Below are 18,344 nucleotides of genomic sequence, written 5' to 3'. Positions count from 1 at the left end.
TAATACAGTGGGAAGGCTGCCCACGGAAAAGAGGGAGGCAATGCACGCACTCCTCAGAATCCAAGAGCTACCTGCCTGAAGCCTGCTGCTGCTGCCACCAGCAACCCCAACATTTGCAGTAGCAGAGCAGACGCCCCTCCCATAGGACTGTGGATCCGCCTGACCAGGCCCACCACTGATGGCAACCTGCTCCCTCCAGAGCAAAACTGCTGCACACCCACACATGCCCTCCAGGTGCCAAAGAACCAGCCTGGCCAAGATATGCCACCACTGGCGACCCCAGCCCCTCCAGCAGCAGATCGGTTTCATGCTCAAGTGCATCCCTCAGGGACCCAAGGACCAGCTGTCCAGGGCTGCTGCCATCACCAGTGACCCTGACCCCTCCAGTGATGAAGCCACCCAGGCCCACTGTTGTCAGAGAACCTGCCCACTCCAGTGGTAGACCTGCCATACACCCATGCTCCCTACTGCCGGAGCCCCCAAACTGATCTGCCTGGTGTCCCTGCTCTCAGCAAAGCCGTGCAATAGCCTCTACAAGCAACCACAGCACAGGCCACTGAGGTACTCACAGACACCAATGATGCTGATTATAGCTGAAGAAATCAGAGACTACATTACTGCCCCCATACTGAACCAAAGCCAAAGCACCTTACCCAACTGTATATTTATGATACGTATACATATACAGAAAAACATTTTTCCCTATGAAAGCTACTCCATAAAATCAGAAGAGGCAATGTGTCACCAGACGCATGGATATCAACATAGGGAAACAAGAAATATGGAAAAGTAAGGAAACGTGATACCTTCAAAAGAACACAACAATTCTCTAAGTAACAGACCCCAAAGGAAAACCAATCTAAAATCACCTGAAAAAATGCAAAATAACAATCTTAAGGAAACCTGGGAAGATACGAGAGAACACAAATAGATTCAATGAAATCAGAAAAACAATTCATAATCTGAATGAGAAATTTTTAAAAATAGATATCATTAAAAAGAACGAAACAGAAATGTTAGAACTGAATAACTCAGTGAGTGAAATAAAAATAAAATTGAGAACTTCAATAATAGACTAGATCAGGCAGAAGAGTTTCTGAACTTGAAGGCAGTTCTTTTAAAATAATCCATTTAGGGAGAATGCGGGGGAAAAAATGGCAGATAAGAGGCAGGACTAACCTGCAGCTCCCACTCAGACAAAGCCATGTGTGGAGACTCACATCATGAACTTGCTCCAAGAACTACTGCAGGAACATACCAGGAAAGCCAAGAGAAACCACAGACCCTTTGAAGGAGGCGGATTGCCGCTGCAGGCCCTGTGGGACAGCTGAGGAACTGTGAGTTGGCTTGCTTTCTCAGCTGGGAGGCTTGTAGCCTGGGGCAAGTTCTCAGCACTGCTCACCAGCTGCCTGGAAATAAACTGTGTGCTGTTGGGGGTGGCATGGTGGGAGGTGGGAGCGAGACCAGCTTTTCATGCAGCAGGCTGCATGGGAGCTAAGTGAGGCCTGTGGCTGATGGCTTTCCCTCACTTCCCTGGTGACCTGTGTCACACAGCAGAGACAGCTATAACCCCCCCGGGAACATAACCCCCTTGGCCTGGGAACTACACCCCCAATCTCCCACAGCAGCTGGAGCAAGCCCTGCCGAAGAAGAGTCTGAGCTCAGACATGCTGAACTCTGTCCCAGCCTGATAGTCTTTCTCTACCCGTCCTGGAAGCCCAAGACAAAAAACAATCTCTTGAGAGATCTATAGCCCGGCCCCACCACCTGAGAAACTTGAATACTTACCCAAAGGCGACCCTAGGGTAAGTTTATATCCTCCCTATACTCCCGCAGCTGATGCACTCTTCATAGCGCCACCTCCTGGCTGGAGGCCAACCAACACAAAACCAGTGCACAAAAATACAGCCAAGAACCCTCATGGAGTCCACTTCTCTTCCCTGCTACCTCCACCAGAGCAGGTGCTGGGATCCACGGCTGAGGGACCTGGAGACAGATAACATCACAGGACTCTGCAGACACTTCCCAGTACCAAGCCAGAGCCTGGCAGCTCCACTGGGTGGCTAGATCCAGAAGATAAATAACAATCACTGCAGTTCGATTCTCAGGAAGCCCCCTCCTTAGGGGAAGGGGTACAGCACCACATCACGGGAGCACCCTGAGGGACCAAAGAATCTGAACAGCAGCCTTGAATCCCAGATCTTCCGTCTGACATAGTTTACTCAAATGAGAAGGAACCAGAAAAACAATTCTGGTAACATGACAAAACAAGGTTATTTAGCACCACCAAAAGATCACAGTAGCTCACCAGCAATGGATCCAAGCCAAGATGAAATCCCCGAATTGCCAGAAAAAGAATTCAGAAGGTCAATTATTAAGCTAATCAAGGACACACCAGAGAAAGGTGGAATCCAACTTAAAAGAAATCAAAAATTGATACAGGATATGAATGGAAAAATCTCCAGTGAAATAGCATAAATAAAAAATAATCACAACTTCTAGAAATGAAGAAATCACACTTAGAGAAATGCAAAATGCACTGGAAAGTCTCAGTAATAGAACTGAACAAGTAGAAGAAACAACTTCAGAGCTCAAAGACAAGGCATTTGAATAAACCCAACTCAACAAAGACAAATAAAAAAAGAATTTAAAAAAATGAATAAAGGCTCCAAGAAGTTTGGGATTGTGTTAAATGACCAGACCTAAGAATAATTGGTGTTCCTGAAGAAGAAGGGAAATCCAAATATCTGGAAAACATGTTTGAGGAAATAATCGAGCAAAACTTCCCTGGCCTTGCTAGAGATCTGGACATCCAAATACAAGTAGCTCAAAGAACATCTGGGAAATTCATCACAAAAAGATCACAGTCTAGGCATATAGTCATCAGGTTATCTAAAATCAACACAAAGGAAAGAATCTTAAGAGCTGTGAGGCAAAAGCATCAGGTAACCTACAAAGGAAAACTTATCAGATTAACCGCAGATTTCTCAGCAGAAACCCTGCAAGCTAGAAGGTAGTGGGGTCCTATCTTTAGCCTCCTTAACACAATTATCAGCCAAGAATTTTGTATCCAGCAAAACTAAGCTTCATAAATGAAGGAAATATAGTCTTTCTCAGACAAACAAATGCTGAGAGAATCTGCCAATACCAAGCCAGCACTATAAGAACTGCTAAAAGGAGCTCTAAATCTTGAAATAAATCCTCGAAATACACTAAATTAGAATTTCATTAAAGCATAAATCTTACAGTACCTATAAAACAATAACACAATGAAAAAAACAAGGTATTCAGGCAACAAATAGCATGATGAATAGCATAATAGCTCATATCTCAATAATAACATTGAAGGTAAATGACCTAAATCCTCTACTTAAAAGACACAAAATGGCAGAATGGATAAGAATTAACCAACCAAGTGAATAGTACCTCACATCTCAATAATAACATTGAATGTAAATGGCCTAAATCCTCTACTTAAAAGACAGACACAAAATGGCAGAATGGATAAGAATTAACCAACCAAGTATCTGGTGTCTTCAGGAGACTCACCTGACACACAAAGACTCACATAAACTTAAGGTAAAGGGGTAGGAAAAGACATTCCATGCAAATGGACACTAAAAGTGAGCAGGAGTAGCTTTTCTTTTTTTTTTTTTTTTTTTTTTGAGACGGAGTCTCACTCTGTCACCCAGGCTGGAGTGCAATGGTATGGTCTCTGCTCACTGCAACTTCCACCTCCTGGGTTCAAGTGATTCTCCTGCCTCAGCCTCCCAAGTAGCCGGGATTACAGGTGCCTGCCACCACGCCTGGCTAATTTTTGCATTTTTAATAGAGATGGGGTTTCACTATCTTGGCCAGGCTGGTCTCAAACTCCTGACCACGTGATCCACCCGCCTTGGCCTCCCAAAGTGCTGGGATTACAGGCGTGAGCCACCATGCCTGGCCAGGAGTAGCTTTTCTTATATCAGACAAAACAGACTTTAAAGCAACAGCAGTTGCTTTAAAGAGGGAAATTATATAACGATAAAAGGACTAGTTCAACAGGGAAATATCAAAATCCTAAATATATATGTATCTAACACTGGAGTTCCCAAATTTATAAAACAATTACTACTAGACCTAAGAAGTGAGATAGACAACAACACAATAATAGTGCGGGACTTCAATACTCCACTGACAGCACTAGACTGGTCATCAACACAGAAAGTCAACAGAGAAACAATGGACTTAACCTATACCCTAGAACAAATGGACTTCACAGATATTTACAGAACATTCTACCCAACAATTGCAGAATATTCATTTTATTCATCAGTACATGAAATATTCTCCAAGATAGACCATGTGATAGGCCACAAAACAAGTCTCAACAAATTTAAGAAAATCTAAATTATATCAAGTACTCTCTCAGGCCACAGTGGAATAAAATTGGAAATCAACTCCAAAAGGAACCCTCAAAACCATGCAAATATATGAAAATTAAAGAAGTTGCTCCTGAATGATCATTGGCTCAACAATGAAATCAAGGTGGAAATCAAAAAATTCTTTGAACTGAACAATAATAGTGACACAACCTATCCAAACCTCTGGGATACAGCAAAAGCAGTGCTAAGAGGAAAGTTCATAGCATTAAATGCCTACATCAAAAAGTCTGAAAGAGTGCAAATAGACAATCTAAGGTCACATCTCTAGGAACTAGAGAAACAAGAACAAACCAAATCCAAACCCAACCGAAGAAAAGAAATAACCAAGATCTCAGCAGAATTAAATGAGGTAGGCCATGGTGGCTGTCTAGGCGCAGCAGCTCACGTCTTTAATCCCAGCACTTTGGGAGGCCAAGGTGGGTGGATCACTTGAGGTCAGGAGTTCAAGACCAGTCTGGCCAACATGGCAAAACACTGTCTCTACTAAAAATACACAATACACAAATTAGACAGGTGTGGTGGTGCACGCCTGTAATCCTAGCTACTCAGGAGGCTGAGGCATGAGAACTGCTTGAACCCAGGAGGCGGAGGTTGCAGTGAACCAAGATTGTACCACTGCACTCTAGCCTGGGCAACAGGGTGAAACTCTGTCAAAAAAAAACTAAATGAAGTTGAAGTAAAAAAAAAATACAAAAGATAAATGAAACAAAAAGTTGACTCTTTATAAAGATAAAAAAATTGATAGACCATTAGCGAGATTAACCAAGAAAGAAGAGAGAAGATCCAAATAAGCTCAATTAGAAATGAAATGGGAGACATTACAACTGATACCACAGAAACACAAACGATCATTCAAGGCTACGGTGAACACCTTTATGCACATAAACTAGAAAACCTAGAGGAGATGGATAAATTCCTGGAAATATACAACCTCCCTAGATTAAACCAGGAAGAAATAGAAACTCTAAATGGACCAATAACAAGAAGCGAGATTGAAATGGTAATAAAAAGCTACCAACAAAAAAAGTCCAGGGCCAGACAGACTTACAGCTAAATTCTATCAGCCATTCAAAGAAGAATTGGTACCAATTCTATTATACACTATTCCAAAAGATAGAGAAAGAGGGAATCCTCCCTAAATCATTCTATGAAGCCAGTATCACCCTAATACCAAAACCAGGAAAGGGCATAACAACAAAAGAAAACTACAGACCAATATTCCTGATGAACATAGATGCAAAAATCCTCAATAAAATACTAGCTAACTGAATCCAACAACGTGTGAAAAAGATAATCCACCATGATCAAGTGGGATTTATACCAGGGATGAAGGGATGGTTTAACATTTGCAAGTCAATAAATGTGATGCACCATGTGAACAGAATTAAAAATAAATAATTACATGATCATCTCATTGGAGCCATTCTAGAGGTTGGCTCATCAGCAAAACCCTTCTAGACATTGGCTTAGGCAAAGGCTTCGTGACCAAGAACCCAAAAGCAAATGCAACAAAAACAAAGATAAATAGATGGGACTTAATCAAACTAAAAAGCTTCTGCACAGCAAAAGAAACAATCAACAGAGTAAACAGACAATGCACAGAATGGGAGAAAATCTTCACAATCTATACTTCTGACAAAGGACCAATATCCAGAATGTACAAGGATCTCAAACAAATCAGCAAGAAAAAAAAATCAAACAATCCCATCAAAAAGTGGGCTAAGGATATGAATGGACAATTCTCAAAGGAGGATATACAAATGGCCAACAAACATAGGAAAAAATGCTCAACATTACTAATAATCCGGGAAATGCAAATCAAAACCACAATGCAATACCATCTGACTCCTGTGAAGGTGGCTATAATCGAAAAATCAAATAATAATAGATGTTGGCAGGGATGTGGTGAAAAGGGAACACTTTTACACTGTTGGTGGTAATGTAAACTAGTACAACCACTATGGAAAACAGTGTGGAGTTTCCTAAAATAACAAAAAGTAGATCTACCATTTGATACAGAAATCCCACTCCCGGGTATCTACTCAGAGGAAAAGAAGTTGTTATATGAAAAAGATACTTGCACATGCATGTTTACAGCAGCAAAATTTGCAATTTCAAAAATATAGAACCTTTCCAAATGCCCATCAATCAACGAGTGGATAAAGAAAATGTGATTTTATATATATATAATATATATATTAAATATATATATTATATATATTAAATATATATTATATATTTAATATATATTATATATATTAAATATATATATTAAATATATATATTATATATATATTATATATATTATATATATATACACACACTATTGAATACTACGCAGCCATAAAAAGGAATAAAATACTGGCATTTGCAGCAACCTGGATGGAATTGGAAACCATCATTCTAAGTGAAGTAACTCGAGAATGGAAAATCAAACATCATTATGTTCTCAATCATGAGTGGGAGCTAAGCTATGAGGATGCAAAGGCATAAGAATGATAAAATGGACTTTGGGGACTCAAGGGAAAGGGTGGGAGGTGGATGAGGGATAAAAGACTACAATTTGACTATAATTTGCTTCAGAGAGAACCTTTTTTGGTTTATCTACTTGTTGATTTTTCAGCTTTCTGTATCTGGATGTTCATATCTCTCCCAACACTTGGAAAGTTTTCAGCTATTATTTCATTGAATAGGTTTCCTATGCCTTTTCCCATCTCTTATTCATCTGAAATTTCTATAATGGGAATATTTGTTTCCTTAATGTTGTCCCATTTGTCCTGCAGGCTTCCTTCATTGTTTTTTTGTTCTTTATTTCTTTTTCTTCCTTTTTCATCTGAATGGATTTTTTTTTATTTCAATAGGTTTTTGGGGAACAGGTGGTGTCTAGTTACATGAATAAATTCTTTAGTGGTGATTTCTGAGAAATCAGATTTCAAATAAACAAAGAAAATTTACAATTAAAGTTAATGAAGTACTAAAAAGAAAAGATGGCAAATAGACAATCTAAAGATGCACCTCAAGGAACTAGAAAAGCAAGAACAAACAAAACCTAAAATTAATAGAAGGAAAGAAATAATAAATACCAGAACAGAATTGAAATAGAGACAAAAAATTTCAAAAGATCAACAAAAAAAAAAAAACTTGTTTTTTTGGAAAAGATAAGCAAAACTGACATACCATTAGGTAGACTAAGAAAAAAGAGAGAAGACTCAAATAAATAAAATCAGAAAAGGAGACATTACAACTGATACCATAGAAATACGAAGGATCAGGAGGGGTACAGCTCCGGGGTACAGCACTTGACTGCAGATCAAGAAATACAAAGGATCATAACAGATTATTATGAACAACTGTGTACCAACAAATTGAAAAACCTAGAGGAAGTGGATAAATTCCTGGACACATATAACCTATCAACATTGAGCCAGGAGAAAACAGAAAACCTGAATAGACCAATAACAAGCAATGAGATTGAATAAGTAATAAAAAGTATCCGAACAATGTAAAGCCCAGGACAGAACAGTTTACTGCTAGATTGTACCAAACTTACAAAGAAGAACTAACACAAATACTTCTGAAAATATTCCAAAAAATTAAAGGGGAGGGCATTATTCCTAACTCATTCTATGATGCCAGCATTACCATGATGCCAAAATCAGACAAGGACAGAACCAAAAAATTTAAACTATAGGCCAATATCTCTGATGAGCATAGATGCAAAAATCCTCAACAAAATACTACCAAACCAAATCCAACAGCACATCCAAAAGTTTATATTTATCCCAGAGATGAAAGGATGATTCAACATACACAAATGAATAAATTTGATACATCTCATAAACAAAATGAAGAACAAAACCCAAATGATTATCTCAATAGACACAGAAAAAGTATTTGATAAAATTAAATATCATTTACAATAACAACTCTCAACAAATTAGGTATAGATGGAATATACCTTAATACAATAAAGGCCATATATGACAAACCCACAGCTAACATACTAAAGAGACAAAAGCTGAAAGCTTTTCCTCTAAGATCTGGAATAAGATGGAGCTAAAAATGATGAGCTCATAGAAGTAGTGAGTAGAATTGTGGTTATTAGAGGTTGGGAAGGGTAGCCAGGAGGGGAGAGTATGGAGAGGCTGGTTAGCAGAGACACAATTATAGCTAGATAGGAGGAATAAATTCCAGTGTTCTATAGCAATACAGAATGAATATAGGTTAACAATAATTTACTGTTATTTTCAAAAAGCTAGAAGAGAGGATTTTGAATGTTCTCAACATAGAGAAATAATAAATGTTTGAGAAAATATATATGCTAATTACCCTGATTTGGCCATTACACATTATATACATATTTTGAAATATCACTCTGTACCCTGTAACTATGTTAATTACATGTATGTTAAAATTAATTTTCAAAGGTACAAGTAAAGGAAAAAAGAATTAAGTAGCTGGTATACAAAGGAGGCAGGGAAACATTTAAATTTCATGCATATGTATGTGTTACCCATTGAAAATTAAAATAAGTATATACATTTTTTTAAAAAGCTACAAATAAAGCTAATGAAGTGCTAAATAAAATGTTTTATCCTCCTACATTGTCACATGTAGTTTTATAAAACAAAATAGAAAATATGTGATTGGATAAGTAGTAAAACATATATATTTTTAAGCCATAAATATAAATATTAAAATATTTAATATATGAATATAAATATTCTAAAACTATATTTTTCTTGCCTTCATGTCAGCAAAATTACTAAATATGCTATTATAATGGAAAGTTTCACAAAATGTTCGCTCTACTGATAGTAATAATCTAAAAGATCAATTGAAAATAAAATAATCAAAATTTATGCAATTTGAATTTTCAATAAAATACATACATTAAAATACATGTGAGAATTTTTTTGTTCTTGAGACAGGGTCTCACTCCTGTCACTCAGGCTGGAGTGCAGTAGCATGATCATGGTTCACTATAGCCTTGATCTCATGGGCTCAAGCAATCCCCCCACCTCAGCCACCTGAGTAGCTAGGACTACATGTTCATACCACCACATCCAGCTAATTTTTTTTTTTAAGAGACAGGGTTTCACCAAGTTATCCAGGCTGGTAAGAAATTTGGAATGGATTGAGTTCATGTCCTTTGTAGGAATATGGATGAAGCTGGAAACTATCATTCTCAGCAAACTATCGCAAGGACAAAAAACCAAACACCGCATGTTCTCACTCATAGGTGGGAATTGAACGATGAGAACACGTGGACACAGGAAGGAGAACATCACACACTGGGGCCTGTTGTGGGGTGGGGGGAGGGGAGAGGGATAGCATTAGGAGATATACCTAATGTTAAATGAAGAGTTAATGGGTGCAGCACACCAACATGGCACATGTATACATATGTAACAAACCTGCACGTTGTGCACATATACCCTAAAACTTAAAGTATAATTTAAAAAATTAAAAAAAAAGAAATTTGGAATGGACTTATTTCCATATATTTAAAAATGCTATTTTTAAATTAAATATTAAAAACCAATTAGAATTAAAAGCAAGTACAAATTAATAGTTATTAAAACTTTAAATATTATTTAAACAAGAAAATGCTCATTTATTTGAAATGTCATTTTATTACACATTTTATGAAAATTATTCATAATTCCAGCATTTAATGTTCATATTTTAATTGCTAGTCTAAAGGATCAGCATCATGGTTTATCCATTTTGTATCTATAGTTGCACAGATACAGAATTCAAGTAATGTAAATTGTTTAATATTGCAAAATACACATCAGCCACCATGCGCAACTTCTTTTTTCTCAGTAATTCTGGAACTATCAATTGGAACATGAGGAAAACCAAAGAACTGGTCATTTATCACTATTAGGACACAAAATTCATTGTGAAAGAATCTATTGAACTCATATTATCTCTCAGAGGATTTGACATATTAACTAATTTATCTTTTCTCTTTCCTAAATATTTGTGTCATTCAATTCCTCCTTGTGTTTCTAAGTAGTATCTGTCTCCAGGAGTAAGAGTTTTAAGACATCAAAGTGAATCAAGGTAAAATTAAGAGAGGCAAGTCAAAGTTCTAATGGCTGGATACATGCTTCATAAGCCATTTGTTCAAAACATTAAAAATTTAGAACCAGGATCCACAAAGGCTGTGATTCATTCTCTGGCATGAAGGTAATATTGTGCAGTTCAGGCCTGTTAACAATAAGCCAAAGTGGCCGAGACTTTAATTCTATAGCACATGATGCAATTATTTGTTGTCAGCAAAGTCTCTCGTAATGTCAGAACAAGGTAACTGACATCATTTCACATTCAACTGGAGGCAGCAACTTCAAGAGTCTCCCTTTAATACTCACAATTTGGACACTCTAATTAGAGTTATCTAGGTGATATTACTCTTCCTCATATTTGGAGATATCACAAAGGATACTATTTGCACAAGAATATGCTTGCCTTTTGGCCAGAGCCTGCTCCTGATTGAGCACATGACAATGTTTTTTGGTGTAATGTTTGAAGTGATGATTTACAAAGCCTATCTCCATTTACAACTCAGCTCTTGGAGATCAGGAATTTCATAATGTCTTTTTCTTAAAAATACGTACCTAATTATTGACTGGTTTATCTTAGACAGCTGAAATACGCTAAACAGTTTGAAACTAAGCTTCAAAATACCCTGAAGATGTTCCTCTTACATTTTGTTAACTTACTGTTATAAAAGCTATACAATGTAACTGTTTTTATCAAGAATCAATTAATGTTTTGCTTGTTCAGATAAAATGTGGCCACACATTTGAGGCCAGATAGGCCTGGGTTCAAATCCCACTTCTACCATCCTGAGCTACGTCATTTGGGCAAATTATATAAGGTTTCTGAGATTCAGTTTCTTCATTTGTAATTGCGATCATTCCTTATTTGTAGCGCCACTGTGAAAATTTAATGATACAATCACTGTAGAGTGCCTGGCACAAAAAAAATAATAGTAGCTATGTAACTGGCAAAGAATTATGGAAATTGGCTATAGCGAATTCATTCATCAATTTAATAAATATGTATTGATCCTACTGTATGCCAGACAACTGGGCGAAGTGCTTGGAATTCAAAGGCTGTTTTGCACTAGGAGCTTAACATTTTTGTGGGGATACAGACATGCATAATAGAGATATGAAAGTGCTGTGCAAGCACAAGTAACGGAATAGCTAACTTTGCTTGGGGAGTTAGGAATGGCTTCTTAAAGAAGATAGGAACTAAGCTAGCAGGAATTTGTCAGGAAAGACTGAGAAGGGCATTTGGGGCAGGAGATTGCAAAGCCATGGAGTTACGACATGCTTTTCACATTCAAGAAAAGGAAAAAGTTGGAGAAGGCCATAGTAACCATGCCAGGCCCCGTGGATGGCTAAATTGAACTGACAAGACCCAGCTGATATGTTTGGAAATAGACCAGAGGTGCCATGTTAATCCTTCAAGAGTGTGGCTCTAATTGAACTAAAAAAAAATCCAATTCTCTGAGATGTGCCACTTTTGATGAATTGGCTTAAGAAAGAATTGATCAAAACCCTTCAGTACAGTGATGTTTGTTTGTTAGACACACCACTTTTCTTCAAATATACCAAAATTGGGGGCAGAAGGGAAACTGTTATTTTGTACTCAAGACTCATGATTTCCAGCTCTTCCTTCCCCTATAATTTCTTGTGATGGGCTGCCCTTTTCACCAGGAACACCCTGGGACATATTCTAAAAACTGCTGTAACCAAAATGCATGCTTCTTAGTTAATAACAAAGTAGTGCTCAATTCCAAAAACTGAAAGGGAAGATGAAACAAAATTTCACTGCAGAAAATATATCCTCAAATGTTGTAAAATGATGTGGAAACCATCCAAAGCACTGGATTTGAAACTAGTGAGGGCAACATCATGGCTAAAGCACCAGAAAGAATTAGACTGAGAAGAAGGAAAAGGCCTCAAAGCCACAGGCGAACACCCTAACTTGGGAAGAACCCTACGAGGCAAACAATTCCATTGCAAAAGACACTTCCAAATGCCTGCAGCAGATCTCTGAAAGAAAGTCACAGCCTTGCTGCCCATCTGAGGGAAACTGTCCAGCTGCAATAGTTACTTCAAACAAAATCCAGACGATGTGAGGCGCAGGTGGAGCGGAGGGCTGGTGGTGGCTGTGTAGATGGGAATCCATCCTTGGGCTCTGAGGACAAGCCTTCTAATGGCACAGAAATTAAATTCATCCCAGAATTGGCTAATTATATTATTTAACACCACTGACACACCAACCTTAATAATCTGTGGATTCATCTACTACATCGTTTGAATAATGACTCCATTCCATGGGAAGAAGTTTCTATTTATATTCAGTAAATATTACAGTATTCTCTAATTTTAATCTCCCATTATAACCTTCCAAGATTTCATGGCTTTTTAGGCAAATTCTATGGAAGGTCTAAATAGCAGATCATAGCTATTTAATAGATTTTTTAAAATAAAAGAAAGCCGTTTGTTTTAATCCACTCACCATTCCGTGATTCAGCCACCCTGGGATAAAATTATCCAGCAGCTTCGGGTATATCATCTCTCTGTCATAGGCATAAATGATCCAGAACACTGCTACAACAAACTGGAAGGAAAAAGAAATCTTTTATTTCAAGTTCATCGACTATCCACAACATACAATTTATTGGTTAACAATAGTTGAAAGAATCCAACAGAATTTGGAATCTATGATGAAAGACAGCTCAGTAAACCAGCTAATGATTGGAAACACAGGTCTAGCTTCATTCCATTAGCAGTAAAAGGTAAGGTGCCTCCTCTCTCTCTGATCTCCGAATGGTGTTCTTTCAGGCAAAGGGATTGGTTTCTGAGGGAGAGAGAAGAGGCCTGTTTTCGTGTACAGCTCCGTTTCAGGGCTAATTGTGCTGGTTTGATTCCTCTCAAGAGGGTTTAAAAGTTCACTGGTGGTTTTTTCGGATCCCATTACCCACTATCTAGAGTTAGCACACATTCAGGAAACTGCCAGCTATGTCCCTTTTCCTTGAACCCATCATGTGGTTTAAACTAATCTTCACATTCTCAAATTTCCACTTCACCACTAGCAGCATTGAAACCACTGCTATAAAATCTCCTAAAGTCACATTTCCAGCAAATGTATTAATTTATACAGACTAAGCAAGGGCTTTAGCTGCACTGAGAAGCTGGGTCCATGGAGGGTAAAGGAAGATTCCTAATTCTCTTGGAATAACTTAGAAGTTCATCTAGGTTCCAAAGGTTTGTTTTGGCCCAAGAGCAACATAATCATCAAAAGAGAGTAGAGTACTCAATGTATTATTTTACCCTTCTTCCAAATAATAGTGAGAAAAGAAGTTCAGATAAAATAATGAATGGCCCAAGGTCTTAACCTTCAGCACTGAATTTAAAAGAAAAAGTGTGTGTTTTTGTAAATGTCAAAAAATGTGGCCTAGAAAGGGAACCATCCCACAGGAAGAGATAAAAGTCTCTGTAGAGTGATGCCTCAAAATAAAAAATGCTACAAAATGGAAAAATACAGCATAAATATTAGAAACAATTTTGACTTCATTTTATATCTCATTCATGCTCCCATATTTTATTAATAAAAATAATAAATAGTTTAATACCACTTCAAATTGGTGGTTTCGTAGGTCGGTGGAAGAAAAGGCCAGAATGCAAGAGATTAAAGTGGTTGTAGGTGGCAGGTAGAGGCAGTAAAAGGTGACTCCTGTTTCATGGCAGTGGGCAGTGAGGGAAGGCAAAGGAGGCTGGCTGCCTGAGACATGTAACAGGGATTAGGAGGGTGTATATGATCTTACAAAACAGGAGATCCAGGCAGTATTTTGATTGGCTAAAAGTCAGAGTAAAAGGAGATAGAAAGACAGGGAACAACTGATAAGCAAAGCCAAGGAAAAGAAAGGGATTAGGATTATAAACACAGATTAAGCATTCTTCCCTTTAAAGTGAAATGCAAGCACTTTTGCTGACAGTTGGAAATAGAGCTGAGCACAAAGAGTGGATTTGGGGCACTGCTGTGGATAACGTACTAGGAAGTCCATAAAATATTTAAAAGGAAGACTGCCATGAATCAGGAGGACCCCACAGAGATCTAATAACAAGATTTTGTAGTAGAACCAACCAGGATGTTTTCCCAGGCTGTCCTGAGGTCCGTGAAAATGAGGATTTAGGAAAAAGAGGGTTTAGGAAAACTTGAGGATCCTAGGAATTTTGTAGCACAATGGCTTGGGTAACTGGGACAGATAAAAGGTTGAAAATAAGGGATGCTATGAGATCAGAAGAACGTCTTTAAGCAACTGGCTAGCGTTTCTAAGCTGGTACTTGGCAAGGAGTGGTTACCAATGAATTACATGACTTATCACACCTAAAGATATTAGTGACAGATAGTAAACACTTAATTAAAGATAGCCATTCTGTTTTCACTTCTTTTGCTGGATAGATTTCACAAGTGACACCAAACCAATTAGGGCTGATCATGTGCTCCAATGCCAGGGATGCACTGCCAGGCATCACAGCAGTACTACCCCGCCCCATGATTCCAGCCTTGCTATTCAAAGTGGGTCGGCAGCACTCATGTCACCTGAAAGCTTTTAAATATGCAGGATCCCAGGTCTCACTCTGATCTGCTCTGATCCTGCATTTCAATAAGATCTTATGCACATATAAGTTTGAGATGTTCTGCTTGGGGAGGCTCTACTTCAGCCACCTTGAGCCTCCTCCCTTCCCATGGAGTGAAGACATCCCGTGGCCAAGTGGCTTGCCTATGCGGAGCATGCACCTCTTCCTTTCGAGATCACACCTGGAGTAACTGTGAGCCTGGAATTCCCTGCCCACATAGTCATGAGTATGCCTCAGGGCATTTGTGGACCTCCTCCCCCAGTCTGACCCCGAAGGTAGACTGTGCGATAAATGTGTGTTTGCCTTAACCTGAGGGGTGGTAAAGGCACATGTGTTTCTGGAGGGTGAGGACCAAAGGTTTACATTTGGTCTGGGTGTCCAAACACAGGCACCAAGCCACTTCAGTCTTGGATGGAGCCACTGATGCAAATCTCTTCACCTTTGCCATATAACATAACCTAATCAAGAGAGTGACAACCCATCATATTCACAGGTCTCTCTCATACTCTACAGAAGGGGATTGTACACACTGGTGCAGCAGGGGATGGAATCTTGGCATCATGTTGGAATTCTGCTTATCATAGGCTCCCACTGTGTTCTTCCTTTCCAAATTGTTATGACTGCTTTAAGTCCTTTGCATTTCCATTTAAATGTTAGAATCTCCAATTATTAATTTACACAAATATCCTGCTAGAATTCTCATGGTGACTGTTTGGGGAGAGCTAACATTTTAACAATATTGAATTTTCCAATCCATGAAGATCATTTGTATCCCCTAACTTGGGTCTTCTTTAATTTCTCTCAGCAATGTTTGTGGTTTTCAATGCACAGATACTGCACATATTTTGCTGAACCTGTCCATAAATATTTCATGTTTTGTGATGCTACTGTGGAGAGTATTACATTTTTTACATTCTTTTTTGTTAGTTTATAAGAATGAACTGATTTTTGAATATTGACAATGTAGCTTATACCTTTGCTAAATTCATGTAGTAGTTCTAGTAGCTATTTTAGAAATAGTTTTGCATTTTATACTTACACGATCTGCAAATAAAGACAGTGTTTTTCCCTTACAATTTTATGCATTTTACTTCTTTTTTTTTATTGCACTGCCTGTGATCTGCAGCAATATGTTGAATAGAAGTGATGGAGAGTGAGCATCCTTGCCTTCATCTCTATCTTAGGGAAAGTGGTCAGTCTTTCCACACTTAAGTCTGATATTAGCTGCAGGCTTCTTTTAGTTGTCTTTTATCAAGTTGAGAAAAATCTCTTCTATTCTTACTTTATTTGGGAGTTATATACATACACAAAGAATAAGTGCTGAATTTTTCCATTTTTTCAGATGGTTTTGTTTCATACTTGAGACAATCATACAGTTTTCCCTCTTTATTCTGTTAATATGGTGAATTATATCAGTTGATTTTGAAAGTCAAACCAACCTTACATTCCTGGTCATCATATATGATAATTTATATATATATATATATGTACACACACACACACATATATATACACACATATATATATAATATATGTTTTTACTGGATTCAATCTGCTGATACTTTGCAAAGAATTTTCTTTTCATCTCTATTCATGAAGTATACTGATTTCTGATCTATAATTTTCTTTTCTCATAATGTCTTCACCTAATTCTGGTAACAGTATAAATTCTGGAATCAAAAGGTGAGTTGGGAAGTGTTTCCTCTCTATTTTCTGAAGGGTTTTGTGCAAGATTAGTGTAATTTATTCCTTATGCAATTGATATACTTCCCTAGTAAAGCCATCTGGACTTGCAATTTTTCTGGTGGGCAGATTTGTGAATTCATTTTCTTTAATAAATATAGGGCTATTTGGGCTTCCTACTTTGCTTGAGTTGATTTTGGTCATTATTGTCTTTTGAGGAATTTCTATATTTCATCTATGTTTTTGAATTTATAAAATTGTTCTTACTATTCCATCATGGAAACTGGCAAATGCTATGAATCAGTTATTTTTCCCTAGAGAGCCCATTGTTAAATATTTACTAACATATCACTGTTAGGAGTCACTATCTGTTAACCACAAGTGATCATTCATAGCATCCACAACACATGAGACTCAGTGTGAAGCTTTGGTCAATACTTTGATCCCTACCTTATATTGAGGGAATTATATGGGTTATTAAAAGTGAAGTGACTTTCAAGAAAGTGTTAGTTACCTTTCTAAGTGTAATACTAGAAGGTCAGGAGGCCCAGCTAACTGAGTAATCAGTCTTCTAAATAATTCTTTAGATATAAACACAGCACAGATGGTAGCTTCTTGGCTTCCTGCACTGATATCCTCCTGATAGTATAGCCATCAGCAAACCCAAAATAAATTTGAACTCTCCTACCAGGGCATGGATATGGAACAAAAATAGTTTCTCTTGGACAGGCTAAGCGATACTGAAACCTTCCACTGTTGTGAAGAAGCACCTTCTCTGGCCAGGAGCAATGGCCAGCTATTCCTCATCCTACACCTGCTGCTTCTTGGCTGCCAGGAACAGAATACTGTACTTAAACTGAGAGTGGAAGGAGCACAGTCACTTTCCAGTCCTTTAAGCTTTGAGATAAAATACTTGAGTGACAGCTAGTCACTGATGTCTCATTTGAACCCCCAGAACTACTAGGAAATTAATGCCAAAAGAAAACTGGATTTACAGTTTGCCTCTTTTTGAAAGGAGTCTCTCACATGGAGTCTGACAGAAGCTGAAACTTCAGCTTTAGTCCACTTCTAAGAAGAAGCTTTATTGATTAATGGGAAATTCTTTGGAATTGAGTAAGACCAATTAGAATGCAAAGAATGTTGGAGAGAAATTCGCCATGAAGAAGGCTAAAAAGAAGAGTCACTTATCTATAGATTGGTCTATAAAGGCTGGATAGCATCATCTCAAACATTCACTGTTGAGGGAGGGAAGGACAGAGGGAAGAGGGGAGGAAATGGATACATCCTTAAAGTCTGCAGCTTCAACTGGATAAAATCCTATATATATTCTGATAAGTCAGTACTCAGACTCTACCAAATACTGATAGGAAAAGATTTAAATTCTGTTTGGGGCTCTATTACCTTGCTTCCAGATTTCTTTTTCATAACTTACTTTCCAGTCAATTCTTTCTGTTGCAGAAGGGTAATCTTTAGAAATATTTCCATTGTGATTTCTCTTTGCAAACAGAGAAAGTATGGGTGTGAGAATAAGCTGGGTGTTGTGCATGCTATCTGGCTTCGTCTCTGA

General features: G+C 37.9%; 1 protein-coding gene and 1 long non-coding RNA gene across 25 annotated transcripts in view, besides 1 other annotated feature; one reads left to right on the top strand and one right to left on the bottom strand.

The window, feature by feature from the left end:
* Positions 1-18,344, bottom strand: part of AIG1 (androgen induced 1) — a 284,671-nt gene that overhangs the window by 165,732 nt on the left and 100,595 nt on the right. For 22 of the 24 annotated variants that reach the window (NR_158896.1, NR_158960.1, NM_001286587.2 and 19 more), the window contains one exon: positions 12,969-13,070. The exons of 1 other annotated variant lie outside the window; for it this stretch is intronic. Coding sequence is in view for 21 of the 23 variants with exons in the window: in NM_001286587.2 (NP_001273516.1) it covers positions 12,969-13,070 (102 nt within the window). In the remaining 2 variants the exon portion in view is untranslated. Of the gene's footprint in view, positions 1-12,968; positions 13,071-13,257; positions 13,371-18,344 lie in introns of those variants that run through there. One more of the 24 variants, NM_001366361.1, reaches the window with a different exon arrangement.
* Positions 954-1,454: an enhancer, noted in NCBI's record as "H3K4me1 hESC enhancer chr6:143497835-143498335 (GRCh37/hg19 assembly coordinates)". NCBI's record gives its function as "activates a minimal SCP1, AML or CMV promoter by ChIP-STARR-seq in naive H9 embryonic stem cells {active_cell/tissue: H9 hESC(naive)}" and the evidence as "EXISTENCE:reporter gene assay evidence [ECO:0000049][PMID:30033119]".
* LOC124901416 (uncharacterized) overlaps positions 13,064-18,344 on the top strand; it is a 49,698-nt gene continuing 44,417 nt past the window's right edge. Inside the window, exon 1 of the long non-coding RNA XR_007059794.1 lies at positions 13,064-13,248. This is a non-coding gene — a long non-coding RNA (uncharacterized LOC124901416). The remainder of the gene's footprint in view (positions 13,249-18,344) is intronic.

Source organism: Homo sapiens, chromosome 6, assembly GCF_000001405.40.
Source record: "Homo sapiens chromosome 6, GRCh38.p14 Primary Assembly".
Taxonomy (NCBI): Eukaryota; Metazoa; Chordata; class Mammalia; order Primates; family Hominidae; genus Homo; species Homo sapiens.
Note: the sequence above shows the minus strand (reverse complement) of the source record. Positions and strands in the feature narration are given on the sequence as shown.